This window comes from Homo sapiens, chromosome 10 (assembly GCF_000001405.40).
Source record: "Homo sapiens chromosome 10, GRCh38.p14 Primary Assembly".
Taxonomy (NCBI): domain Eukaryota; kingdom Metazoa; phylum Chordata; class Mammalia; order Primates; family Hominidae; genus Homo; species Homo sapiens.
The window spans coordinates 43,854,779-43,882,506 of record NC_000010.11 but is presented as its reverse complement, the minus strand read 5'-3'; the positions used below and the strand labels follow the sequence as shown (position 1 = coordinate 43,882,506).

General features: G+C 47.3%; 1 long non-coding RNA gene across 1 annotated transcript in view, besides 7 other annotated features; it reads right to left on the bottom strand.

Annotated features, from left to right (window-relative positions):
* LINC00840 (long intergenic non-protein coding RNA 840) overlaps window positions 1–23,096 on the bottom strand; it is a 36,023-nt gene extending 12,927 nt beyond the window's left edge. The window contains exons 1-4 of the long non-coding RNA NR_038268.1: window positions 22,147–23,096; window positions 20,580–20,628; window positions 15,168–15,350; window positions 8,095–8,317 (exon numbers count right to left, since the gene is read on the bottom strand). This is a non-coding gene — a long non-coding RNA (long intergenic non-protein coding RNA 840). The remainder of the gene's footprint in view (window positions 1–8,094; window positions 8,318–15,167; window positions 15,351–20,579; window positions 20,629–22,146) is intronic.
* Window positions 5,489–5,676: a silencer, noted in NCBI's record as "fragment chr10:44372279-44372466 (GRCh37/hg19 assembly coordinates)". NCBI's record gives its function as "represses an EF-1alpha promoter that drives an FKBP-Casp9 reporter gene in an ReSE screen in HepG2 liver carcinoma cells {active_cell/tissue: HepG2}" and the evidence as "EXISTENCE:reporter gene assay evidence [ECO:0000049][PMID:32094911]".
* Window positions 6,642–6,811: an enhancer, noted in NCBI's record as "experimental_12586 CRE fragment used in MPRA reporter constructs". NCBI's record gives its function as "activates a minimal promoter by MPRAs in K562 erythroleukemia cells, with activity observed for both the introgressed and non-introgressed 10:44371229 variant alleles {active_cell/tissue: K562}" and the evidence as "EXISTENCE:reporter gene assay evidence [ECO:0000049][PMID:34662402]".
* Window positions 15,052–15,346: a silencer, noted in NCBI's record as "tiled region #2960; K562 Repressive non-DNase unmatched - State 22:ReprW". NCBI's record gives its function as "represses a minimal TATA promoter and a strong SV40 promoter by Sharpr-MPRA in K562 cells {active_cell/tissue: K562}" and the evidence as "EXISTENCE:reporter gene assay evidence [ECO:0000049][PMID:27701403]".
* Window positions 17,574–17,743: an enhancer, noted in NCBI's record as "experimental_12564 CRE fragment used in MPRA reporter constructs". NCBI's record gives its function as "activates a minimal promoter by MPRAs in K562 erythroleukemia cells, with activity observed for the introgressed 10:44360297 or rs79466182 variant allele {active_cell/tissue: K562}" and the evidence as "EXISTENCE:reporter gene assay evidence [ECO:0000049][PMID:34662402]".
* Window position 17,658: a transcriptional cis regulatory region, noted in NCBI's record as "Neanderthal adaptively introgressed variant 10:44360297 (GRCh37/hg19 assembly coordinates) or rs79466182 in the experimental_12564 CRE". NCBI's record gives its function as "modulates activity of the experimental_12564 enhancer by MPRAs in K562 erythroleukemia cells {active_cell/tissue: K562}" and the evidence as "EXISTENCE:reporter gene assay evidence [ECO:0000049][PMID:34662402]".
* Window positions 18,506–19,006: an enhancer, noted in NCBI's record as "H3K4me1 hESC enhancer chr10:44358949-44359449 (GRCh37/hg19 assembly coordinates)". NCBI's record gives its function as "activates a minimal SCP1, AML or CMV promoter by ChIP-STARR-seq in naive H9 embryonic stem cells {active_cell/tissue: H9 hESC(naive)}" and the evidence as "EXISTENCE:reporter gene assay evidence [ECO:0000049][PMID:30033119]".
* Window positions 19,007–19,507: an enhancer, noted in NCBI's record as "H3K4me1 hESC enhancer chr10:44358448-44358948 (GRCh37/hg19 assembly coordinates)". NCBI's record gives its function as "activates a minimal SCP1, AML or CMV promoter by ChIP-STARR-seq in naive H9 embryonic stem cells {active_cell/tissue: H9 hESC(naive)}" and the evidence as "EXISTENCE:reporter gene assay evidence [ECO:0000049][PMID:30033119]".
* Window positions 23,097–27,728: the final 4,632 nt, after the last annotated feature.

The following is a 27,728-nucleotide window of genomic DNA, read 5'->3' as shown; positions in this document are numbered from 1 at the left end:
AGTACAATTTCAGATTGTTTTGTTAAGATAAATTTCCCCAACGGGTAGGGGAGTAAGGGGCAGGGGAGAGGAAGTGAGTGGACAACCATCCTAAGATGCCCTCAGGAACTTGGAAATAAGATTTCCTTTGAGAGTTCTTCTGCTGTAACAGCTGACCCATAATCAGTGAGTATAGCAATTTGAGAAGTTACCCTGAAGGGGTGGAGGCAGCCAAAAATGAAACAGTGTTGAAGGCACCAAAGTAGCTGAAGAATGTGACCATCAGAAGAGGGTGGGCTGGCCCGAGGAGCCCAGAAAAAGTGTTCATATCAGTTAGAGTGTTGGGGGGATGCTGGGTAGCCCTAGTTTACTCCTATTTTCTCAGTATCATCAGTAACAACTCCCTCCCCATCTCACTCTCAAAACTGCCTTATTTCAGAAAACAAATTACACAGTCCTCTCCTATGGATGACTTGGCAATGGGCAGGCCTCTGTCTTCCAGAGGGACCAGATGGATGCACCCTATTTTGCGCAAAAGATTTGGAAGAGGACAAGTTGCATCTGAGAGAGAGGTGATGGTTACTGGCCCCAGGAGTCTGGGTGCCAAACCTGCCTGGACACATGTGCTCCAGTGGGACAGGGCCTCTGGAGGTACAGCTGAGAAGGAAGCTGCAGAGAAAAGCATGGCATGGCCAGGAGCCAGTGGGGGGACTCTGACCACCACATCAGGGGAAGCGTCACCCCAAAGCCTCCCCTTGCCTGCTGGGGCCAGCACTGCCCTGTGGCTATAACACATGAGAACTGAAGGACCAGAGCCCTCCTCCTGGAGAGAGGGAGGCTCACCAAATGCTTTCTGGACTTTGCACACCACCCTAAAGGCGAGCTGACCTTGCAGCGAAGACGTCTGCCTGCCCACCAACACTGGGGCAGTGTGCTCAAGGAGGTTTTGTGACATCTGGGAAAATAAAGGAATGCAGTGCCATTGGCTGGATCTGAGTGTGTGCAGCAATTCAGGCTTGACAGATGGGTGCAGCAGCCTGCAGGTCCCACACGGCCTCAGGTGCAGCCTTTTCCCGCTCTGATGCCACACTCACCATAGCACCCTGTGGGCGTGGGAAAAGGACCCCCAGGCAGATCCATGTCTCCTTGTCAATTAATTAGGCTCTATATTTTATACGTTGGTTTTATGAATTTGGACAGCTCAAATCAGTGTACAGGGGTTCACTCAACCCTGGGATGGTTAAAAAAAATTGAGTTTCTGAGCCACAGAATGGAGGGCAGACCCATCCTCAAAACACATGATGACATTTTTTTCTTTCATCTGCTTTTGGTTGCTCTGTATTTTAACTTTTAAGTTAATCTGAAATTTGCTTTTTCTTTAGGACTAAATTACTCTTTCTCCCCAACTGCAAGCAGGTTATTATCATGTGATTTGTGGAAAATATTTTTATTTATGAGTATTTGTGTTGCTTTATGAACCATATAGCTTATTCATTCATGAGCCAAGGTCTTTGAATTATTTATTCTGTTTCATTGATTTGTCTATTCATAACCAAATTATTTTGAGCATTGTATCCTGATAACATTGTTTAATAATTATAAAAACCAATCTTTTTATTCAAAGATTTATGTTGAACACTCACATTATTATTTTCACTGTAACTTTAGAATTTGTTCTGTTTCTAAAATAGCCAGGAGGATATTGAAATGACCTACACCAAATGTGTGCATTAATCTAGGAACAACTGATATTCTCACAACAGTCATTTTTATATTCAGGAATATGATATTGTTCAAATGTGTATGTTATTTTTTGTGTACATTTTATATGCCAATAAAGTTTTGTAACTTTCTTGATTGCAATCACACTGATTTTCCTTAAAAATACTCCAAGGTGTTTTATGATATTTGTTGTTATTCTTTATATGTTTTTTCTCATTAAATCTGCTTATTGCTGGAGAGGTATGTAATTTAACAGCCATATTACGGATGACAAAACTGGGGCTCGGGGAGGTTCATAAATTGTTCAAGATTTATGAAGCAATTAAGCCGGGGAGCAGCAGCATGAAGCAAATGAGGACAAACCCTGACACCCACACGAGTGTTTCCTTATCCTTCTCTGTGTCTGGGCTCTTGGCAGCCTGTGGTGTTGGGAGCAGGCCTGGTCCCTTCTCCCTTCCATGCTGACCTCCCTCCCACGTCTCCGTGGAGACTGGCTTTCCTTCCCACTGTGATGCACCTTCATCTCCAGCCCATTCCAAAGCGCCCTCCTTTTCTGAGAATGCCTGCAACTCTGTCTCCCACAGGAAATGTTCATCATGCTCACCATCCTTGCCTTTCGTGTTTTCCTTGAGACCACTGGGGAAGAGACCTCAGTGAGCAGAATGCACAGCCATGGGGCAGAGGTCTGAGTGTGGGGATCAGCTCAGAGCGTAAGACCAGATCACAGACACCCGAGTCACCGGGCTGCAGCCTGCACAGCTGGACACACTCGCCATCTGCTAGGGGTGCCTGGGGCTCTGCGGGTGTCCAGCACCAGGAATTGGAGGCTCCCCGCTGGCTGTGGGGCGGGAGTGAGACTGGATCCTCTGCTTCAAGTAATCCACCCAACTTACATTTGATTTATACCCACGGGACCACGGGCTTTTCCTGAAGGAAAGCTGCAGTGTGTGGCCTCCCGGGCTGACCACCCTCCCCTGGCTGTGGTCAGCGTTCTGAAGCCAGTACCAGTGGTGGACCAATCCCACTCAGTGGTGATCCCACTCAGCCGTGGCTTTTCAGTCAGCTGCTCCTACGAGGAAGATGGGCACAGCGTGGTTATCCCATGTCCATGGAACTTCCAGTTTTGGGAGACGAATTCTCTGGGTCTCTTTGTCACCACTCACAATTCTCTGTGCAATATCTTACTGCAATTCAGATGAGTTAACTAAAGCGTGGCAAAATGACAAGACTGGCCAGAGCCCATGGGGAAGCTGAGAAAGGGAAAGCCGGCCTTGAAAGCGGCAGACTGCAGTCTGCAGGGGCTGCAGGTCAGCTGCCCTAGGCGGCCGTCTCGTTTGGGATTTAGGTCTGAATCACCATTTAGTGCTGGGGACTTGGTGCCCCCTCCACTCAGGTTTACTAGCTGTGGTGAAGGAATCACTGTCAACCAGGGTCTGCGGGCATTCAAAATGGAGCAGAGGCTTGGCCCCTGCCCTCCTGAGATGTGCCAGAGGCAGGCACCTGGGAGTATAACTTGAAGGAGGGGCGAGAGGCACTGTGGGTCTGGTTCAGCTTCCCAGAGGGCCTCATAGGAAAGGTGTGGTTCAGAGGGAAGCCTGGGGAGGGCTTTGTGTAGAGAAGGGCAAAGAGGGTACTGTTCTTTCTTAGGAAGAATCAGAGAGCCACTGAGCCAGCACATGCTCTGTCCCCAGAAGCCCTGGTTCTCTCACCTCACTCTTCGACCACCTCCCTCCGTAACCCGGCTGAAGCCACTTTCCCCTCACAGAAGTCCTGTCACTGACTTCCCAGAAATGAGAACAGGCACGTTCACGACTTCAGAAAAAAGGACTCTATAAGCATAAATGATGGGAGACTCTCAGCTCCGATAAAGATGTTTTTCAAAAGACCAAAGAGGGTAAATAACAAAAGCACCCATGGTGTAAGGTCCAGGCGCTATTTTTAGGCCGTCCTTCGTGGTTCAGGACAGACGGAAGATGGAAGAGGTGATGCTGGCCGCCAGTCCTGCTCCATTTTGGTCCTCACCCCCGGAAAGCACTGAATCCTTGATTGTTTGGTTAAAAACATCCCAGAGTGGATTTTGTTGTCAGCTGCTCTTGATCTTTTAAAATTTCCTGCATGTGCTATTGACTGCACTCCCGGCCTTGATAGAAATCCAGACAAAATTGTCAGCCTGTGAGCTGTGGCTTTGTCATCAACAGGCTCAGCCATTCTGGCGACAGGGGCAGGAGGCTGCGGGGCAGGAAGTCGGGCTGTGAGCCAAGCCTGAAGTGACTGGAGAACAGCCTCAGACCCACCCTGGCCTCTCGTCTCTCCGTTCCTGCTCCTGCACCAGGCGATGGATGATATTTTTATGTAAGAAACCGGAGGAGAAATCCTGCCGCAAGCACAAAACAGCCTTACACAGTGAGTTATCAGAAATGCCACTAAATGTTGCAGGTGGGCATGTGCAACTTGAAGGAACACATGGCCCCGGGCTTCACTGGGCCCCTTCACCACCCAGCCCTATACCTGAAAGGAAGGGCCTACCAAAACGCAGACGGGTGAACCCACCACAGCCAGATTTCTCCATGTGTCCTAACTTCTGCATAGTCCAAGCTGAGTCAGCCTCACTCTAAGGAGTGTCGTGATGCGAGGTTCTCCTGGAAGGAGGGGGGTTATCTCAAGACCCTCAGGATCTAAGTGGGGCCTAGCACATGACTGGCACTCACCGACTGGTGAAGGAGAAAGAGAAATGGCGAAGGAGAAGGAGGGAATGGAGGAAGGGGAGAAAGGGAGAGGCAGGAAGGGGAAACCAGAAAACAGGCAGACATGAAGCAGAAGAGCTTCACCCACCCAACCACAAATCTCCAAGCCAGGGCACTTCAGCAGCCGGCAGGACTGGAACCGAAGGGGTGACAGCAGGAGGTGGCCTGAAGCAAAGGAGTGGAGAAGAGAGGACGGCGAAGTCACCAAGGATGTCCCACGCTCCCTCCATCAAGGCCTTCTTACAGGGGCCTTCTTGCTGCTGAGTCCCTAAAATGGAAGAACCACAGCGTGGCAATGACTTGGAAATGTTTGCTCACGGCATTTAACAACCAGAAGCGGGGCCGGGCGCGGTGGCTCACGCCTGTAATCCCAGCACTTTGGGAGGCCAAGGCGGGCAGATCACGAGGTTAGGAGATCGAGAACATCCTGGCCAACATGGTAAAACCCCGTCTCTACTAAAAATACAAAAATTAGCCAGGCGTGGTGGCCTGTGCCTGTAATCCCAGCTACTTGGGAGGCTGAGGCAGGAGAATCGCTTGAACCTGGGAGGCACAGGTTGCAGTGAGACGAGATCATGCCACTGCACTCCAGCCTGGCAACAGAGCAAGACTCTGTCTCAAAAAAAAAAAAAACCCAGAAGTGTTTGTTTGTGCCATTCATTTTGTTTCTTAGCATGTGGACTTCATCTAAAGGAGTGTTTAACTCTTTCTCTTCCTCTTTAGCTCCCCAAGGGGTACATTGTGATCTACAGCTCTACCCTTAGTCCTGAAGGAAGTTAGGTAAACTCTGGAGTGGGAAGACTGGTGTTTCTGTCTCCTCAGCTACGTAAACACACCTTCAACTGTAACATGCTGCAACTATAAAATACAGTTTTATAACAGCCTGTTTCATGTTTCACAGCCCGGCTTCCATTTCAGTTTGTGGGAGGGTTGCTGAGGGAGGTGGGCCGGGAACTGGGGAGAATAGACACGCGTAGTTCATCAAGGTGTAGTTTAACTGTAACTGCTGAAATAAAAGATGAGAGGAATACCAATTTTCGTGAAAGGCAGACATAAACACAGCCCTGTCAAAGCTCCAGACGTGTATTGGCCTTAAATGTGTGCGAGGTGGGCTCCCGTGACAGGCCACACTGTAGCATTCCTCATGACCAGTTGTGCAGTTATTCACAAGACAAGACGAGTGTGAGATGCCTCATCTGAGAAGGACACGACGGAAGTTGCCCCGTCCTGTGTGAACCAGGGTCTCTGAAACTCACCCTTGAGTTAGAAGAAAGGCAATCGAATCCGAACACCCCTGAACAGCACTATTAAAAAAAAAATCTTTTATTTTAGCAGAATCTCCCAGTGGCCATTCTAAGAAAAAAAATGAAGAGACTAATCTTCATTTCCATGGGTAGAAATACAATTTGAAAGCACATTTTACCTAAGGGTATTAAATTATTTGACTACTCTGAAAACCTTTCCCAAACCTTAAGGATTTTAAAAGGAGGGAGTGACATTGCCTCCGCTTCACAGAGGGAGAAACTGAATGCAGGAACAGGAGTTTAGACAAGTTCACCAGCATTCATTTGAAAGAGTCAAGGTTAGACCTCAGCATTCCCAAGAATCTAAATTTGACAGTGCTGGAAACTCAGGAATTCTGATTTCTAAAGATCTACTTTATCAAAAGGTAAAAAATATAAAGAAAAATCCCCCAATATAGAGGATTGGGATCCCAATAGTTAAATCATGTTCTGCATGTGTACAAACAAAGTCAGAAGTTTAGAAAAAAGGCACGTCAGAAACTGTGACCTCCCTTGCCAGTGTAGCTCCCATGAGTAGCATAAATAAAGTGCTTGAGAATCCATTTTAAAGAATTATTTAATCTCTTATAAGCCTGGAGTTAAGTATTCTGAAATTCATTGCAAACTCATCTATATTCTTGTTGAGAATACATTTGTTTACACTAATATCAAACTTGTAAGGCCCCAGCGTCTACATAGTTTTGGAAAATTCTTTCATGCCAGAACCAGAGAAGTCTCAGGCTTCCTTTACAGCCACAATTCCTGGTCACCCTGACACTAAAAGTGTCAGGTTTTGAACGTGAACAGGGCTGGTCATTTTATCAGTATTTCAGGACTCAGCAGTTTCTTTCTTTTTTCTTTTCTTTTTTTTGAGACGGAGTTTCACTCTTGTTGCCCAGGCTGGAGTACAATGGTATGATCTCAGCTCACTGCAACCTCCATCTCCTGGGTTCAGTTGATTCTCCTGCCTCAGCCTCCCAAGTAGCTGAGATTACAGGTGTTCGCCACCTCGCTCAGCTAAAGTTTGTATTTTTAGTACAGACAGGGTTTCACTTTGTTGGCCAGGCTGGTCTCGAACTCCTGATCTCAGGCGATCCATCTGCCTTGGCCTCCCAAAGTGCTGGGATTACAGGCATGAGCCACCGCTCCTGGCCCTGGGACTCAGCCATTTCTGACCATAAATCCAAAATCTGAAAATTCTCATTCCAAAGAACTAGATTTGTTTGTGTTCATCCCAGCAATTTTCTAAGCTGAAGACGCTTCCTTACTGTGCACTGAGATGACACGTAGGTCAACTTGACTGTTTTAATCAACCACAGGCTCATCTAATTTTCTGTGTCACAACAGGTTTCCAATGTAATACTCTTATCTCTGAAAACACTGTATTTTAAAAACAAAACAAAACAAAAATTGATCATTGATTTTTAAAACACGAAGAAACTATCCTGTTAGGTATTTTCTGTAATTTAGTAAAAGTGGGCACTTGGGAAGAGCTCCCTGCAAAACGCGATGGCCCTAGTGAGGGTTGCGATTCAGTCTGGGCTGTCAGCTCTGATCTCACAGTGCCCACAGCACTCGGCCACCACCGCTTCCTCGAAAGGAGCATTTAACTCTTTCTCTTCCTCATGAATGCATCAGTGGCTAACGGGGGAGGGCACTCTGGAGCCCTTCATGGAGTCTGTGGGGAAATCTGATTCTCTCCACGTTGCAGAGGGGTTTATGGAGGTCCAGGATCTGGTGAGCTGCCCCATATCACACGGCTTGCAAGTGGAATCCTGTCTGAAAGACACCAAATCCCATACTCTTTCCACTGTATTGCTTTTCTATAGAATGGAAGAAATTGAAGTACACCTTCCATCAAGTGTCCGCCATTGGCTCCAGTTTGATTTCTGAGTCTAATCTACATTACGTATAAACCCATCTACCTAATCCATATTATATGTAGAAATACATCCTCACTGGCCTCATCGCTTTCATCCCCAATGCCTCCCAGGTTGAATCACAATGAGCCTGGCTCTGCAACTGGCTCTTAGCTGTGGTCTCCGCAATTCCAACCTTGTTCTCTGTCCCAATAAGCATGCACCACCCAGCACCCAGCATGATTTCATAAACACATAAATCAATCCACCACTCCCTACTCAATGCTTTCTGGTGGCTTCCCAGGCCCTCAGAAAGAAACCCAGATTTCTTAGTGTCCCCGTGGTACCCTCTACTGAAGCACACACATGACCCCAGCCACTCATGCATGCATCTGATACAAAGGGCCATCTCATTCACCACGCTCCACATTCTTTGCAGTCCCAAATGCTCCAACCTCATTTGCACCTGGAGACCAGTCTTTCCCTGCCTGGTGTCTTCTGGCTTACTTTCATGCCATCCGGTTCTCAACTGAAATGTTCTCATGGAAGCAGAATGGTCTGGAAGCCAGGTCCTGTGATTTTGCATCACATCCTCTTGCCTTCTCTTCTTCACTGCACTGTGGCTCTCTAACACTGGCACTCTTTCCCTCGGTTCACTGTTTCCCACCACGCACTGTCAATTAGAATGTTGGCTCTCTGCAAACAGGGTTGTGTCTGCTCCGGGACTGAACTGCAGTTGGAAAAAACAGATGTAAAACTCATCTGCTGAATTTCCTGATGCTCCATAGGACTGTCCTCCCAGCACTGGACCAGCCTCCTCCCCTCTAGGTGGTCTCTTCTCCAGGTCAAATGTGCCTCGTGTGTGAGCTGTCCCCCAGGCCATGTCTAGACTCTACCCCATGTGAGGGCCTCCTGAACTCTGCAGACTCCAGATCTGAGCTCAGCCCTGCAAGTGCCACATAACTGGATGATGTGACTCCAGGGAGAGCCTTGAACACATGGGAAGGAGCCCAAGGTTAGCAAGAGGAGCCCGGTTCTGCAGGAAGCCTCGGCGCAGTTCAGCTAAGATGGCTGGGGTCCTTTCGCTGCCTCTCACCCTTCACTCTATCATTCCTGGGGCTGGAGCTCCTGGATGGTAGGAGCTCTCTCTGCCCCAGCTGCTCCAGCCAGATCCTCCTCTCCTGGCCTCATCCACACAACCTCCAAGCCTCCGTGAGTGGCCTTATTGGCGAAGATAAGACTCCAGGCTCAGAGGAAAGCACCTACTCTTGAGGCTGAGAACCAAAAGCAAGGGCTTCTCTCCAGGAATGCGCTCTTCAGAGGGAAGGTTCTGGCAAGGCAAGGAGTGCCAAGCTCACCCTTAGCAAAGCGGCTCCTTGGAAGGTTTCTATAAACCTCTGGCAGGCCTCTTCCCACTTCTCAGAAGGTGAGCTAATTTCTTGGTTGAGTCAATGCAGTAGAAAGTCAGGATGGTTTGATATCCATCTGACTTGGAGTCAATGTAATTTGTCAATTCACAAAAATCAGTCTACAACAGGATTTGTGACCTGGTGAATTTGACTTTTCTGCCTCAACAGCCACGTGTGGCAAATGCCCCCTCCCTCTCGGTTTCTGAATTCTACTATCTAGGAACTAGAAAGGCCCTTAGGTCTCAGAATCTACCTTATACAGTAGAACCCATATAAGAGTCCCCCTGAAAAAGGCAGGATGGCACTGGGAGCCCAGTCTCCTGGGTCCTGGCCATGGCTCTGCCTCTACCCACAGGAAGTTCTGTTCTGGTCCTGCACATCTCTGCATCTGTGACCACAGCATAGTTATACCCTATGACTTCTGAGGCTACTTTCAGCTCTGGGATTTCAAACTCAGGATTTATAGTTATAACTGGTTCCAGGCCCACATCCTCAACAAGGTCTTTTTGATGGCCCTGTCTAAACAAGTCCTTGTCTGCTCCTCTGTGGCTGCACACTGCTTGCTTCCTTTACACCCTCACCTGCCCTACCACGACTCACCCACTCCGTGTTTGCACTCTCTGCCTCCTGCGCAGTTCTCCAGGCACTGAGATGCCAGGGAGCCAGTACTCTCCTTCAAGGCCACAGCCCCAGGACCCAGAGAGTGTGCCTGGCGCCAAGGAGGTGCTGGACATTTGCTGAGTGACCTGATTATAGCTTCTACCTCTGAGGATGCGTTTGTGGGAAACGGCAGTTCACCCCTCACCAGGCTGGGGATGCCATGTGTGAGCCTAAAATATCCAAATTGAGCTCAAATCAGCCTCAGTCCAGTTTGGTCTCAGGTCTAACTGTTGACTCTTCTAATCTTATTAGCAATTACTCAAATTTTTAAAAAAGCATAGAGTTTCTTTGGAATCCTGTTTTAAAATCCTTCCTTTTTAATTTGGAATATAGCAGCTTGGGAGAGCTGTAAGTCGAGAAACAAAGGGATTCATTCTCTGGCCAAGAAATGTTCAGAAGCAACAATGGTCATGTTTATACTAAAATAGCAAAAAGAGAATGCTTAAATTAAACCATTATTGATTTAAATTCACGAAATAAGATAATTGATATTGAATATTGAAATTAAAGACTCTGCATTTGTGTTCTTCTTAAGTCTACCTGGTGGAGAACATTAATATTTGAGTAATATTTGCCTTTAAAGAGTAGGTGGGTGATGAACCCTGACAATAGCCTTCTTTCTATATCAAATATGACTTTAACAAAACAAGTTGGACTGCATTAGAATCTGCTTACATAAATGGAGTTCATAATTTTTTCTTAATGATTTGAGATTCTATAGTAATATCATGGCCACATGTGGATTTGAAGAGATATAAACTTTACAAAAATCTAACATAAATTAAACTTCATTCTATATTTATTCAATACATATTATTGTTTCAGGAGAAAATATTTACTGGATCATACCTTTGTGAGAACCATTCTCAGTAGCAGATTGTTATAATGACATGGTTTCTTGCTTTAATGAAAAATAAATGGTATCATTTTAAAAAAAAAAAGAAAAAAAAAAAAGCTCTCCCCATTGGTGGTCTGGGAAGGGAGCACATGGTGACGCTCAGCAGCTGTCTCAGCTGCAGCCCTCCCGGCAGTGTGGGGCAGAAGGCAGGCAGTTCTCTGCTCTGAGGCTACAAATGTGGAGGCAGCAGAGCCCAGGGAAGTCAGGTGCCCTGGCCGCTGCCCATGTACTCCAGCCACTGTCCCGGGGGCAGTGAATGCTGAGACAGGGTCCAGGTGGAAAGCTGGTATGGCTTGGATTTCCCCAGGGCAACCCTTGTCACCATGTCATATTCTGCCAGGCAGCCTGCACCATCCAACAACATCTCAGAAATGGGGACAGTTTGGGGCAAGTGCACGTTTTTTGTGTGTATTTGGTGTGTTTGATTTATTTAATTATTTTAAGCTAAGTCAAAGTCGAACTCTACTCTCCCATCCTCCTGAGCTGTCATTTATGGAAATCGCGATGTCCCCACAGGACCTGTGTGTGAAAAGATAAGGCCATGTGAGAAGAACTTCGCCCATGGGCATCCCTCTGCGGGCTTGGCCGATGTAGGGCTCTGTGTCCACCCTGCCCTGAGGCACAGCCCTCCCTGGCACTAGGTGACCTTGGGATGTTGTCCTCCTGCTCTCCGGTCAGCCTTGCACTCTCCTCTCAACTCTGAGACCAGTAAAGGAAGGGAGTCCACTTGAGTGGAAATGCTGAGGGCGTGGCCCCAGGGGCAGGTCAGGGCAGGCCAGCCACATGTGCAGAGCCCCAAGTCTCCAGCGGGGCCGGGCAGTTGGCAGCTCCAGGCAGCCCCCGCGGAGCGCCCATCCTCTGTGGTCTAGAAGCACGTTTGCCTCACATGGCAAGCACTGCTGCCTTTGTTCTCCTACGACTCCTCAGAGGCTGAGCCCTTGGGAATGAACATGCACAATAACAGTTTGCAGAGGCCTGAGGATTGTTTCTGACAACAGCAGCTCTCTGTGACCGTGGCTCCCAACTGCATCTTCCCCAGGCATAGACCTGGGGAGGCAGTCACCCCTCAAGTAAGAGGGTGACAAAAACAAAATGAGTCAAGCCACCCCACCCACCCACCACCCTCCCCCTGAGGCAGGTGCATGTTCTCAGCCCTTTGACAAGGCTCTGTAGAAGTTAGTCCCTTTATGCAAATTGGCCTCGCTGTCTGGCGCGTGTGTGTGTGTGTGTGTGTGTGTGTGTGTGTGTGTGTGTACAATGGCATTGACCTGAAAGTAAAATCCAATAGGTAAGAAACATCCTATTCCAACCATGACAGACCCTTCCTCCAATGCATGTGGGTGGAGCATGGTCACCATCCCCAAGATTTCTGGTTCTCAGTCTCAAAATGTGGGCTTAGCAATCTATGGAGTAGCCTTTCCAAGCATCCCCTGTGAGCAAAGACAGTCTAAAACCAACATAAAAATGAGTGTCCATGTGGGTGTAGAGTTTTCATGATCCAGGACGGCGCATTAAAAAGACCTAGAGAGATTCAGCAGTACTGAGGCCTGGCCCCACCACAGACCAATGAAAGCAGAATATCTGGGGAGGGGTCAGGCATCTTTATTCTTTGAACTCCTCAGCTGATTTTAAGAGGCAGCCGGGGTGGAAAATTCTGGGTCAGGCCTTACAGAGACTGGAGTCCATGGCTCCTCCAGCTAGCCTGATAGCAATTCTATCCGCACAAGAACCATCCTGTCCCCACACACTCTGTGTCGTCCAGCCAGTGGTTCTCAGACTTTGATGTATGTCCAAGTCACCTGGGAGGATCATAAGGACCATAGAGCCCCAGGTTCCTTGAAGTGGGTGGGACCCGGGCCCAGGGATTTCTCAGAGCTCCTGGGTGAGTCTGATGCCCATCCGAGTGTGATCACCAAGGGCCTTGTCCTTACAGAGAGTAGAAGGTGGCTGAGCAAGCACAGTAATTGATGGCAGTGCTCCTTGCCTGTGTCCCAGTAATACCAGCCAGGAGCCAGCTGAGCCTCCTGCAGAGGTGAGCCAAAGTGAGCCCCCCACTCCTTCACCTCCTCCTCCCACACACACCAGAAAGCCATTCTGGAGCTGTGCCTGTACAAAACCCAGTTTCCTCAGCCACTGTGGCTCCGGGTGGGCTTCTGCACTCTGCACCTGTCATCCCAGGAGCGCTGTCCCGGGCTCCACCTGACTCAGGGAGAGGTCTGTGCCCTGTGCTCTGAAATGCTGGGTCTCCAGACACTCCATCCATGAAACAAACAAAATAGGGTGACTCTGTGTCCTCAAATGGGAAGGCTCCAACACATGCTACTTCCTGGCCCCTTGAATTGGTACTCTCCACCAGAGCCACCACCCAGGCTCTGTGGTCCATGAGGAGAGAGGCTCACAATGGGGCCTCCTCCAAGGAGAACAAGCTCCCAGGAGACCTCCCCTCAAACCCAGGGCTCTGAGCTGGCTAATGTCCAAGGAGAGGCACAAGAATGGCTGGTCAGGGACTGGAGTCTCTGCCTGGCCTACCTAAGGGCATCCTCAGCTGCAGGTCCCCTGACTCGATGAACAGAACAGGGAGGGGATGCCGCTGAGCATCCACCCCCACAGCCTATCTGTCTCATTCCAGCCAGACAGCCCCTCCAGGGCCTGAGATGTAACTCTGCTTCCTTCTAGCCTGAAGCCATGGAGGAGACCGGGTGGGGGCAGGTGTGGACAGGTCAACTCTGGCCAGACAGGGCCCTAAGGTGCCGCCTTGCCGGGGTGCCAGGCTCTGACTCTGGGACAAGGACACCAGACCACACCAACCACACTTGCCAGCCTGCCCTGTCTGCTCTGAGCCACCCCCTTGGCCCACTGCCTCTTCCCTCTGCCGGACGCCTACCTCTGACGCCTCCCCCCACAGCTCCATGTCAGCCATATGCTGTCTCTGTCTTCTCATTAGGACTTTAGGCACACTCCAGACAACATCTCTTTTTATGAGCTACCTAAAAAATTCCTCTCCAGCAACACCAAGCCACCAAGGGGTGGCCAGCAAGGCAGGACTCTCCAGGCCAGGCCAGCAGGGCTACCTGGGAGGAGGCTTGTGGCAGAGGGGCAGAGGTGGGCTACTCCCAGGCTGCATTTAGGACTATTTTGCAGATAGGTAATGGGGAACCACCCACAAGGATAGAGTTTGAAATAAGAAGCAAGCTAAAGCCAGGGCTTTGGGGAATGGAGCTCAGATCCCCAAAACTTAGCATGTAGAAAAACATTTTTGAATCTTACTGGGCATAAGACTCACCAGGAAGAGATAAAAATGCAGATTTCAAGGCAGCCGAGGAAGCTGCTCCCTCAGCAAGCCCTGCTAGGCCTGCGATGTGTTCCCAGGAAAGATTATGGAAGATTTGAAGAGAAAAGCAGAATCCAGGCTTGGGTGAGGTCGGACAGCCAAGGCCAGAGCACAGGGTGGAAACCAGAGAGGTCCTGAGGTCCGAGCTGGCGGGAAGTACAGGAGAAGCAGGAGGGCTGTGAGTGGGACATGGATCCTAAAGCCACAGATCTCTGGGCATGACTTCCTGCGATTCTGAAAGCCTCCAGCTTTTAGGTCAACCCTTGAAATGTGAGCAGGCCATACAGAACCTCGGGGCCTATGAAATCTTCCTCCTTAGAAATAGACTCTTAATTTAGAGTTGAGAGTCCACCCAAGAGGAAAGAGCTAGATTTATTGCTGGCAAAATATGAAGGATGTAACATGATACCTCTTCAAGTCTCCTTATATATTTTCACAGGCCAGGCAGTAATTGCCTCCAGAGATGAGGCCCTGATGGGTTAGGGGAGGAACCCTGCCCACCCGCCCGCCAGCTAGGAGGAGGGAGTCTGGGGCCAGGTACAGCTGTGGTAGGGATGCAGGACAGAACGGACTCACAAAAAGAAGTCGTGGTGGGGTCCACCAGGCCCAGGAACTGGCAAATAAGGAAACCACAGAAATAGAGGGAAGGTGGCAAACAGGGCGGAAGGGAGCCAAGAACTTGCTCGTTACAAAGGCAGGAACCCTACTCTGTTCCCAAAGGCCTGAAATATCTCCAGAGGGTAGCTGTGTCCACACAAAGCTTCCTCTGGGTGAATCAGGCACAATGAGGGCCCGGGATGAGTCACTCTCGTTCCAGCCTGGCGTCTTCCCTTTGGGAGCCTTTCTGCAGACAGAAAACTGTAGCCAAATTAGGACACTCTAAGGATCCGAAGGCACCAAGACCTGCTGGCCTGCGACCAGAAGAATCCAGATTTTATGCCTGATTTGGGGTGATCCTTAAGTCATCCGACTCATTTTCCTTATGGTGAAGGGTGTTTATCAAAGCCCAGTGACTTGTGAAGACCACCAAATGGTGCCTATGTGATGTCAAAGCTGTGCTGGAAGAAGGGAAGGGTATTCTCTCAACTAGTGGTTCAGGAGAAAGAGGCATGACCCCCACAAGCACTCGGAAAACTTTCATCCACCAAATAATCACACAAGTCATGCAAATGAACACTGTGGGAGGTGCCTCAAAGGAAAGAACATGCCCCTGCCCCTGCCCCTGCCCTTGCCCCCGCCCCAGCCCCTGGGGACGCCGGCAAAGCTTCTGTGAGGAGCTCACCTTTGGACTGAGGTCTGGAGGATAAGCGCATGCCAACAGGCCAAAGAAGAGGTGGACAGTCACGGGGACAAACAGAACACTATGCAGACGCCTAGAGCAGGGGTTCATGGTGAGCTCAGCCTCATGAGAGGTTGCAGCCAGACTGGGGAGGGCTGTGGACCAGGTAAAGATCTAGTCATTGTTCTGCAAAAAAATGAAAAAAAAAAAAGGATGTGAAGCATGTAGAGCCACTGAAGGATTTTAGGCAGGACAGCAGCACAGTGAAGCTTTGAAAAAGGCCATGCCGGCCAGATGCAGTGCAGGGGGAGGCTTGCAAGTTACAGGACCAGTGCAGAGAGGCATCCTGGCCATTTCCACCATGCAGTCTCGAGAGAGCTGCTGCAGCTCCAACTGAGACGCTGGCTGTGGATAAAGGTGAATGTGTCTGAGAACACCTGACAGGCAGAATCAGCGGGGACAGACTGCATTTGGGGTAGATGAGGGTTTGCTGTCTCCAAGGCAATATCCTAACAGGAGGAGCACGGGAACAAGGTGTGACTTAGGGCTCCAGATTCAGGTTCTGTTTTTATTATGTCAAGACGCAGGTGCCATCTACATGGGAGCTTCAGGAAGGTGATTGTCTGTGTGTTTCTGGAGCTGTGAAGAAAGTTCTAGAAGGAGATTTCTATGTCAGCTGCACACAGGAGCTCACGAAGCCAAGCTCCTGAATGAGGTGGCCAGAGGAGAGCTCCACATGAGAAAGAGTGACAGCTAGGACCGAGCCACAATTGCCCCCCATAGACAATAGCCATGAGCAGTGCGCAGGGGAACCAGGAGAGAATGGGACCTGGAGGCCAAGATGGTGTGTCAGGAGGAAGAAACCGTTAGCAATGACAAAAGCTGCTGAGACCCTGGAAAAGAGAGACAACAAGAGAACTCCAAGGGCTGTACTAAGAGATCATCCCGAAAATGCTGAAAAGTCAATAGGCGACAGACTGTAGGGACATTGGGTTGCATGTGAAAACAATTGGGGTGAGCGAGGAAATGTTAACCCTTTTGAATATGTGAGAAGTAGGATTGGAGCTGTGCTCAGAGAAGATCATGGTGGCTTAAAAGGAGAGAAACAAAGCTAGGAATTCCATTCTCCATGTTTATACTGCCATTTTGTAAGAAATAAGGCAGTGTAGGACAAGGCTGGAGTAGTCCAGGAATTGACAGGAATGATCAAATCATGGCCACTGAGCTCGCAGGAACTGAATTAAGGGGTGACTCCACAGACACGGAAAGGAGAGCAGCTGGACTTAGTGGCTGAATGGGCCACTACAGGGTGAAGGCATAGACAACTAAGAGACTGGCGGGAAGAAGAAGCAGGATCCATGTCCCTGTCATAGCTGGATGGCCAGGGATTCTGTGCTGAGCTGTTGTCAAGGGCAGCTGTTTCAGGTTCCAGCAGAATATCACAATGTGGAGACACCCATCAGTCACTGTTACCTGCAGACCTGTGCTCAGGACACAGGGCAAGTCGGTGTGGGGCCGGCAGGGACTGCAGAGTCCACTCAGAGGACATGTGCGGAATGCACAGAGGGGCTGTGGAAACACAGAGCCCAGGAGGAAAGGACAGTGGACAGCAGGAGTGACCAGGAGAGACGGAGAAAAGGATGGATGAGGAATGGAGCCCCTGCAGAGAAGGGCAGAGAGACTGTTCCCACCATGGGTTTAGGGGGAGATGCAGGACAAGGTTCCTGCAGTCCCCTGGGTTTGGAGTGCACAGTTTCCACTCGTGTGTAGGAGTAGGAGCCAAATGGAAAGGGATGGAGACAGAGGAGGAGGGCAGAGGAGAAGCAGCTCAGGACCACACCATGTGAGGATAGAAAGAGGGCTGGGAGCACGAACAGCCCCGGGGCTCAGCGCAGGCTGCCAAGGGAATTCTTCAGTTATCTGTTTTGGCTGCTACTCTTTATGTGTGTGAATATGCGTGTGTGTGTTTTCCGAGCTTTATTGAAGTATAACTAACAAATAAAAATTGAGTATTTAAGGTGTACAAGGTCATGTTTTGATATATGCATTGTGAGATTACCAGGAACAAGCTAATCACCATATCCATCACATTTTTATAAGAATACTTGAAATCTATTAGCAAATTTCAAGGATATAATGCCATGCATTATTAGGTCTTCATAATTTAGCTAATAACTAAAAGTTTCCTATCTTGTTTTTCAATAAGGAAGATGGGTATAGAAAAGTCAAAGTGGCCAATGAACATGGAAAAAAGGACAAGATTAATAGCAGTAATTACCCAACATGCTAATTAAGAACTGAAACATTGTCCATCTGTCAAAGTAGCAAATGCAAAAAGTTTCTGCAGAAACATCATTTGGGTTAAAGACTGCGTATCATAGGATGGCATTTTTCCCTGGCTCTGTCGCTGCTGCCATGGTGGCTCTCCTGGCCCCTGCTGTGGGCACATCTGGACACAACCCCCACCCTCCTCACTTCCCTGTGGTGTGGGTCGCTTCCTCTAGAGCTGCAATTACATTTGAGCCAGAGTCAGACACAGAGGCCTCCAAGCCCTGAAGATGCGGCAGGGTGTGCGAGGCTGCAGGAAGCTGCCTCAGGACCTGCTTGTGCAGGCGGGAAGGCAAGCTCAATGGCAACTCCATGATGTCTTAGAGATTGACTCTAATGTTACAAAGAGGAGAGAGACCGAAAGAGCCATATCTGAGGTCCAGAAACAGAGCCAAGTGGGCACTGTAACTCAGGATGGGTCAAGGGACCTGGCCACTCACACACAGCTGGCAGGTGGCAGAGCCGGGATTTCATCCAGGCTGCCAAAACCCAAACACAGACCCTGCCTGCAGCACGCTCTGCCTCTCTAAGTCCACCCTGCCTATGACCAGGAAGGCCGGGTGTCCTCCCACCCAAGGCAGGCAGTGGTGGGAGGAAGTCAGCAGAGAGACCAGGTGAGGGCCTCCAGCACAGCCACAGCACAGCCCTGCCCATGTGAGCCCATCGGACATCAACACATACCACGTGTCATGTTGTGCACAGCCAGCCCCTGAGCAAGGGCACAGCAGGGCACCTGGTTGCAGAGCAGTGTGGACAGGCAAGGGCACACTGGAGAGCAGGCGGCTGAGGAGCATGCTGGGGCCGGGGTTGCCACCAACCAGCCTGGGCCAAGGAAACTATTCAAACTTTTTTTTTTTTTCAGCAAAAACAATGACAATTTTCTGTCCATTGTCATTTCCTAAGAACACTTACGGGACAAAGTCTCAGCTGCAGTAAACAGCCTGGGAGCCAAAGTCCTCTGGCTCCAGTGAGCATGTTAGGCATGATTCATCTGGTGAACATTCTCTTTCTAAAGAGGGAAGGCCAGGTTAAACAAGGGTTTGCACAAAGCTCTCTTCCTGTGGCAAACAAAAGCCTGGGCTGGGCCAGCCATCAGTCCAGGCTCAGGAGAGCTCCCTAACCAAGTCCACATGTGGCTCCCATGAGACCCTCCCAGATGGGACTTGGGGAAGATCTGATGATGATGGTGATGATGGTGATATGGTGTTCTTCCAGAAATGCCTAAAATGTGCCAGCAGAGTCTTCCCTGGGAAGCAATATTGTCCTGGCAAAGCAATGGGATCAGGAGGCCTTTTAGTCTCGATCAGAATAGGGAGGAGAAGGCACCTTTGGGAATAAATGAAGCACCATGGGCCCCAAAGAGAGCCAACATGCAAATCATGGCCTGAAGATGACCCTTGAGGGAATGGAGCTCAGGACCACTGACAGGACACAGAGAGGAGGCAGCAGAGGGATGGGCAGCACTGTGATCCCGGCATCCAGGGCAGTGATGCCAAGCAGCAATGGCCCTCCTGTGCTCGGCGGTTACACGAAGGCCCAGATCAGTGCCAAGCGGGTGGTCTACTGGGCAGGCGGGGTCTGAAGGAGACATTACTTCCTGCCCGATCTTGTTAGCCAGGCTCACATATCGGACCAACCCCCATCCCACCTTAAATTGCAATCCACGTCCTTCTCAGGAAATAAGAAACCCCTCAGTCTGCACAATGCTTTCTTTGCCATGATTTGTATCACCCATGTCTTGCTCTATGATTTGGGGATTATGTTCATTGTTTGTTGGCTACACCCCCACTTCTCAGTTGGAATACGCATCAACTCCAGGAGGGCAGGGAAACTTTTTCTTGCTTCCTGATCTCCCCCTAGCACCTCGAGCAGTGCCTGGCACACAGCAGGTGTCCACAGTACTTGTCGAATGCAGAAGTGAATAAATAGCAAGACAGAGTCACCCGGCTGGCTTGGACCTGGACTGGCCAAGCTGGTGGTCTACACCATGATTTGCTGGATAATCCATGCAGCTTTCCCTGCATAGACACAGATGCAGCCCCTCTGTCCAAACATGATGCTCCCTCTGTCATTGATGGGAACCAGATGGAGTCGCGCCTGTAACATGACTGAGCACTGATTTCAGTAAAGTAAATGAATTACCAAATTGTAGTCATTATAATTTATCTTCATCTTAGTGACACACTTGACTGGCTGCTATAAACCAGGATTTGAAGAGTGAATGTGAATTTACAGACCTCTCAGCTCTGCCCACAGGATCCAAATCTGGCAGAATTGTCATCTCTATTGAACTATTACAACTGAATGGTGAGCTCTCCTACCCCCAGATTTACCGTTAATATGTGGTAACCCAACTATAGGAGCCATCTGATAATTCATCCTAGTACGTCAGATTTGGAAAGACCTTTAGGGTCATCTAAACAAATTCCATCTGCTTGAAACGAATGCCACTAAATCACAACTACCACTCTGCCAAGACTGGGCCAAAGTCCAGCTCACACAACTCACCCCACTCAAACAACAGTCCCACACACAAAATGGAGTATCCACTCCTAAAGCTGAGTCAGCCCTGAAAGGTCTGAGGGGTTGAGCAACCTAGCTCAGGCATAACAAGTGACTTTCAGAACTATTACTCAAACTGAAGAGTGTCTGACTCCAACCCATCACTCCCAACCATTATGCTCACCACTGACTCTGAATTCTGGAGAAAATTGTCAATAAAGATGTAGAGGATTGGTGACTCCTAGGTCCATGACACCTGAACTCACCAATTTTAACAACATTGAAAGCAAGAAGGCCAGACATTGTTGCTTCCTGATGTGATGAAGGTACAACAGGAAATGCACAGCATTCATATAAAGTGGCTTTGCCAAAAAAAAAAAATGTGAGTTTAATCAAGCATTGGATATAACCACCTGCAGGAAGCATGGAAGATAAATCTTCAACAAGAGGGCATTTAGCTAAATCCAGAACATAATCCACTGTACAGAAAAATGACCCATGACCAAGTTTTTTCAACAAATAAATGCATTTTTAAAAGAGAGGGAGAAGTATTACAGATTAAAAGAGACCTAAAAGACACCTCACCCAACCACAATGCGTGGACCTTGTCTGCATCCTGAATCCAGCAAAGCACCTGCAAAAGGACAATGATTTTTATATTTAGCTGAGATTCATTTATTATGACTGCAGTATACTATTCCATTCTATAGCTTTTTCCTTTTTTTATTTTTATAGATTTAGGGTGTACAAGTGCAGTTTTGTTACCTGGATAGATTTCATAGTCATGAGGCCTGGGCTTTTGGTGTAATCATCACTTGATTAGTATACATTGTAACTGTTAGGTAATTTCTCATCCCGCATTGCCCTCCCAACCTCCCCCCTTTCTGAGTCTCCAACGTCTGTTATTCCACACTCTATGTCCATGTTTACACATTATTTAGCTCCCACTTATAAATGAGAATACACAGTATTTGACTTTCAGTTTCTGGGTCGTTTCATTTGAGATAATGGCCTCCAGTTCTATACATGTTACTGCAAAAGACATGATTTCACTCTTTTTTATGGCTGGGTAGTATTCCAGGGTGTGTGTGTGTGTGTGTGTATTATACACATTATATATATAATATACACACACACCATATTTTATGTTGTAAAATATATCCATATTTTATGGTGTATATATATATATATCAATACCAATACGGTGTGTGTGTATATATATACTATATTGGTATTTATATATATATATATATATATATATATTTCTAGAATTTGCTTCAAAATACTCCAGGAAAAATAAAACACAGAGTAAAGGGGTAGATGAAGTAAGAATAGCTAAGTACTGATCATTATTGAAGCCAGGTTATGAACAAGTGAGGTTTCATTAGACTATTTGTTCTACTTCTACATATGCTTAAGATTTTCCATAACAAAGTTAAATTTAAAAAGAAGTGATGACACCCGGGAATAGAATCTTAAACCCCAAAACAACACTGTACTCTATATGGAAATGGTCACGCTCTCCCTTTGAAAAGCTTTCTCATCACGGGAGATAAAGTTACCAACTTAGAGAAACCGAAGGGTCTCAGTGAGACACTCCCCAGGAATATACCACAGAAAGCAAAAGCATAATGGCTAAGAGATAAAACCATGGAAAATTTAAGAAAAGATGTATGTTTTAAAATATTAGTGAAACATTTAAATATACATAATGAACTGGGAAAGTATAAAGTACATGTCAAAAAAATCTTAACATTATCATTACATTTAAAATATTATAAGCCTATAAGAAAAAACAGACTATTCCCTCTGAAAGGGCAAAAGATATGAGCAGACAGTTCGTGGAGGGAAAGGAAAGGTATAAAGACAGTGAATATGTATAAGGGAACAAACAAGAGGACAGGTTCACTTGTAATAAAATCAGCACATAATTAAAAAGCACATGAAGGTCTACACATTATTGACAAGATGAGCTCATTGGAGAACATCGCATAGTCCTGCCGTAGTTGAGGGGAAAATGTTCTTCCGCCACACTGCTGGTTCACACTCCCTATTTATATGTAGCAAAAGCTCATTAATGCCCTTTGTTTCAGCAGTTCTTCTTGCAACTATTTATTCATGAGAAGTAAAAATAAGCAAAGGTTTGTCTTACCTACAACAGTAAGTACAGGCAGTTTCCTTTGGCGCTGTGTAAAAATTCGTGCGCAATTCAAGATGATGAGCCCTTGGCTTGAAGTCAGAGGCCTGAACCCTGGTGCTGGCCTACTTTTAGGACTTGGTTTCTTCTTATCCTATGGGCTAAAAGTTAGCACTTAAGTCTACAGCTACTGAAAAACTAGAATAGATCTAAAAGACAAAGTGTTTATTTTTGCTAACATATATAAGTCACCTATTAAAAACCTGCTTATTCAGTAGATATCATTTTGTGCATAAGACTAAAATAATAAAAATAATGATCTTCTTCAGTCTTGAGTCTTGAATCTCAGAATCTTCCTCTGTATAGTGAACACACTGGGATAGTTTTAGATAACACATCCATTGGCTCTCAGTTCTAGTCCAAGATGAAAAGCATATCCTTGTGTGATCCAAGTCATAAAGGTAGAGCCAGTTTCCCTAAGATGTATTCTTGGAATTTTCCAGAAGATTAATTTTTCTCAAGCCTTAGATTGCTACAGGATTGACCTCATGGGCTAACATCCATAAGAGGACGTTACCAGTTGAGAACCCATGGACTTAGAGGTGAAACTGCCTGCAGCTTGCTTCTATCTGAATTTCACCTGAGGTGAACAAATCTGTGCCAGAAGGAGTTGCCCAAGTCTCCATTCTAGAGCAACAGGGCTGTTTTGAGTGCAGTTATGAAGGAGGAAAAGCAGCTCCATGCCTCCATGGAAACCCAGCCTGAAGATCTCAAGATCCTGGTCCCTGGAGAAGCAGATCCATGGCACCGAACCCCACACCGTACAGCCCATCTAAAGGTCAATGGCACCTGTGCGAGAGATATTAAGGAGGAGCAATGGTAGACAAAATCAGAGCATCTATGAGCTGACTCCAGGGGTGAATTTGAGGAAAAGCTTTGGCGTTATCCAGATTAAAATTGAAGTTAAATGCTGCAGCGTTTCCAGAAACATGAGGCACTGGTTTGTCCCCAGGACAGGAAATACTGATGTTGACTTTCATGATGGAAACAATGACTTCTGCCCACTCTCCACCCTCCTTTCTTACACTTAGAAAATCTGGCATTAAAATGAAAGGCAAACCAAAGAAGAAATGGAAGGTGACAACCAGAGAAAAGACCATGTCAGCAAAATCCCGGCTCCAAGTCCTGAGCCCTGGTAGTGAGGATGCATTCACAGGTTGACGCAGAGGGTGGTATTAGGATCTAGGAACAGATCAGGAAATATTGAGTAAAGGAAGCACCTGACCAGGAGAGCCAGGCTGCACTTGGAATCACTGGGGAAGGAGAATCTTGGTTACGTTTGCTTACCAGGATTACCCTCCTGTGGGTTAATCAATCCTAATAGGATGCTGAAGGGTTTTTTTAAATTTTCAATTCAGAGGCCCATTTTAAAAAATATGCTCACTGTTGGTTAAGGCACACAGCTGATTTTGTTAATATATATGAGGATCCATGTCTAAAGAGCTCAAAGTTATTATTAAACTCATAACTACTAAATTAACAAGCACATATATAACATAAACATCCTCAAATACACGACTGTGTCATGTTTAAAACTCTACTTGTTCTCTGAGCACCATTTTATGCAAAACTATCTAAGAAAACAGCTGCCAATTAAATTGGAATAAGATAAAGTCAACCTATGCCAATGAATGGAGCAATATTGGAACCTATTTTCCAGAACTAACTTGATGATCATTCAACAAGAGATTCTGGCAGGAAAAAAGAATATATACATACACACACACACATATACAGGTTCTTTTCAGAAAATGTCTCAAAAATGTGGTCCTCATCATGTGAACACAGTGTTCGTGTGTGTGCTGCCTGATTTGACTCCCAACTTTCTGCCATTGCATTGGTGTTTGGGGGGTTTTGTTCTCATAGTACAGAAAAGCTTTTAATTGTTAAACGTGTGCAAAATAAAATGCAAACTGCACAACTCAATTACTTTCCTTCAAACTGATGGCCATGTTTCTCAGTGTCTGTCAGTTGTTTTAACAAAAACTTTTCTCATCTGCAAAGAATTGAAATTACCCTTTCAACATATGTTTTCCAAAATCCCTGCTCTGTTTTCTCTTTGAAATTCAAAATTACTAATATACCTTACTGCAAATATAAGTGCCTTTCTCCAGAAAGCTCTAGTGGCCAAGTAGAAATGTTTCCCTTCGGATCAAGGAAATGGTATTTTGTGATTAAATTAGTTTGAGCAACACAGCTCTGGGTGTTTTATATCGCAGAGCTGTGATTTTCTAGCAGATGGCTTCGACATTTTTATACTGAGGCAAGTTTTAGTTTTCCAACCTCAGTTAAAATCTTTAAAATGTTTGCTTTAGAAGGAATTACTACACAATGGGAAAAGAACCATATGCAATACCTTATCATTTAGGAAAAATATTCCATTTTGAAACTGAGTTTCATTAAGGCCTGTTTTGTGTAAGCAGGCTGCAGGTTCAGTTGCTACACACATTGTTAGGGCCCTGCAAGTGTCTGTTTTTCGTTACCCTCCCCACACAACCCAGCCCTCTGAACCCCGGCGCCTGCATCTGTGCGCTTACATGCTGTGATTCACTACAATAACAGGAATTTGCTGCTGTTATGATTGAGATAAATCAGCTTTGTGGTCTGGGCAGCCATTCTGATAACCATGACTCCACCTCAAATTTGCTGCCTGGTCTTAAACCATCTGCAATACAGTCTGGTCGATGAAGCAGACACAGAGATACTATATTTTCTTAGGAATTAAAATAAAATAGATACTATGGACCAGGAATTTAACTAACACCTTTCCCTACATTAACTAATTTAATCCTTACAAGATCCTTAGGGGTTAACTCCTTCTCTTATCTGCCTTAGATATAATAAGGGATTGCTCGCCCACAGCACCCCAGTTGGTGTGCAGCTCAGCTTGATCCCTGAGTCCTAGCTCTGAACAGCTGTTATGACATGCTGTCACCTTGCCATCTTGGCTCCAGGGTGAGAACTGGAGTCCCCCACTGTTCATTTCTGTAGTGGGTTCTGAAGGGAAGGAAAACCAGACTTGGTCTTCCACACTCTCCCCAACCCAATCACCTGTGTGCACCTTGGGCTGGGTCCATCACTGGCCATGGCATAGACTGGTCTCTTGGCAAAGCTGAAGGGAGGTTAGCCAACCTGGAGTTTTCTACCTAGTCACCTCCCACTAGCAATGGTAACTGTGACTTCTCTCTCTCTTCCTTCTTACATCCTATTTTCTTATTCTTTTTCTTTCTTTTTTTTTTTTTTTTTTGAGACATGGTCTTGCTTTGCCACATAGGCTAGAGTGCAGTGGCATGATCACAGCACACTGCAGCCTCCACCTCCTGGGCTCAAACAATCCTCCTGACTCAGCCTCTTGAGTAGCTGGGACTACAGGGGCATGCCACCACACCAGCTAATTTTTTTTGTAGATATGGGGTCTATGTTGCCAAGGCTGCTCTCAAACTCCTGGACTCAAACCATCCTCCCACCTCGACCTCCCAAATGTTGGGATTACAAGCATGAGCCACCACACCTTGCCTATTCTACCTAGTTTTATATTTGCCTCCACAGCAAAGAATTTTAATATGTTCCTTTGTGTAGTACAACTGAAAAATTTACTGTTTATCTAAAATTCAAATTTAACTGGGCATCTTGTGTTTTATTTGCTCACTCTGGTCACCCTAACTAGGTAATCGCCAATGCAGAATGCACTGGACTCCTTAAACAGCAGGACAAGGTCACAAAGGTGGAGGGCCTGGTCCCTGCTGCTCCCCAACTTCTAGTGCCCTTTCCCTTCTCACATGGAGTCCGCCTGTCACTCCTGCTCACCTGACCTAAGACTGTGGCCATCCCTTTGCCGCCGGCCAGTCTCACTCAGATGTCCCTGCTACATGAGCCCTTCCCTGCCAGCCCTGTCTTGCACACCCTATATTTTCATTTATTTCATGTTTATATATTTCATCCCACCCAATTGAACAGCAGGGACCTGGCCCAGGGCACTGGGGCAGCCCCATCTAGCACACGGTAGGCTTCCTTTTAGCAACTGTGAATGGATGAATCCTCCAGGAAGCCTGAGCATTCCTTGATACACTAATGAGGCTTCTGACACATGGTGCCTAACGAGGGATGTTCCAGTGGTCTGACCAGCCATCTTCAGGTGTGAAGTGCCTCCAGCCATGCCAAGAACTCCTTGGACAGCACGCTGACACTGCACATTACTCTTCCTCTCAACTACAGGGCCAACTGGCAGCTTCTCTGTCACTTACCACAGTTGCCTTGCATGTCTGTGTTATCTACCAGGCCAGACTGAGTTCACACAGAGCAGAGACAACTATCCCATGCCCCTCACCTCGTGGAGTGAGCATCCAAGAAGCATAGACTCCATGGTGGGGGTTGCATTGTGCATGTGTTCAAGCACTCACATGCTCCTCGGAGCTCTGCCCAGGCCAGGCTGGCCAGCATCGGGTCATGACAGATGGGGCCTCACAGACACTGTGCAGACACAGTGCAGACATGGCAGTCAGGATGGAGCACTCATCCCATGGGGCTTGATGCTGTAAGCCAGCTGTGAGGGCAGGAAGCAGGAGCTTAGCTGGAGTAGCCACCAAGGTGAGGCAGGTTTTCACTGGTGAGGCCAAGTTTGACAACAGGATAGAAGAGTAACTAGAGAAGGGTAATGTAGTTCTTGTGTTTCCCGGGCCTCTCAAAACTATCTGAAGAGTCTACTTTTTGCCAGGTGCTCTGCTAGTCACCAAAATACAGATGAATAGATGTGACCCTAACCTTGGGGGGCTTATGGTTTTCTCCCACGCTCCTCTCAACTATCACCTTCTGAAGGATGAGGATACACATCCTTTGTCACCTTGGCTGCCTGGAGCCTAATAGAGAATTGGCCTCGGTAAGAGTCATTGTTATTGCTCCATGTTCCTCTAAAAGAAGGGACTAGAACAAAAGGGACAGACTCGGAAACGGAATTGGGCAAAATCACATAAGCAAGAAGCTTTCAGTAGCCTGAATTCTCCAGCAGTGGAACGGGCCTTCCTTTGGGAGGATGCGTTTCCTTTTTCTCAACGTGGCCAAGCATGGGTTGGGCCACCTCTTAACAAGAACCCTGTAGAGGAAACTCAGGCACGTCCACCATGCCTCTCAGGCCTCTCGTGACCCAGGAGGCTCCATGTTCCCTTGGTGGTGATGTGGTTGTTTTCAGAGTCTTTTCAAGAACTCTGTATTAGCATTCTCCAGAGAAACAGAATAATAAGATAGAGAGAGAGATATCTATATATAGATATAGATAAAAAGAGATTGATTATGGGAATTGGCTGATGGGATTGTGGAGGCTGAGAGACCCCACGATCTGCCATCGACACCCTGGAGCCCAGGAAAGCCAGTGGTGTGATTCAGCCCAAACCTGAAGGCCTGAGAATCAAGAAAGCCAACAGTGTAGGTTCAAGTCTGAGTCTGCAGGCCTGAGAACCAAAAGTGCTTGTGTCTGCAGGCAGGAGAAAAGGGGCAACCCAGCCCAAGGAGAGAAAGAGAGAATTTTCCCTTCTGCCTTTCGG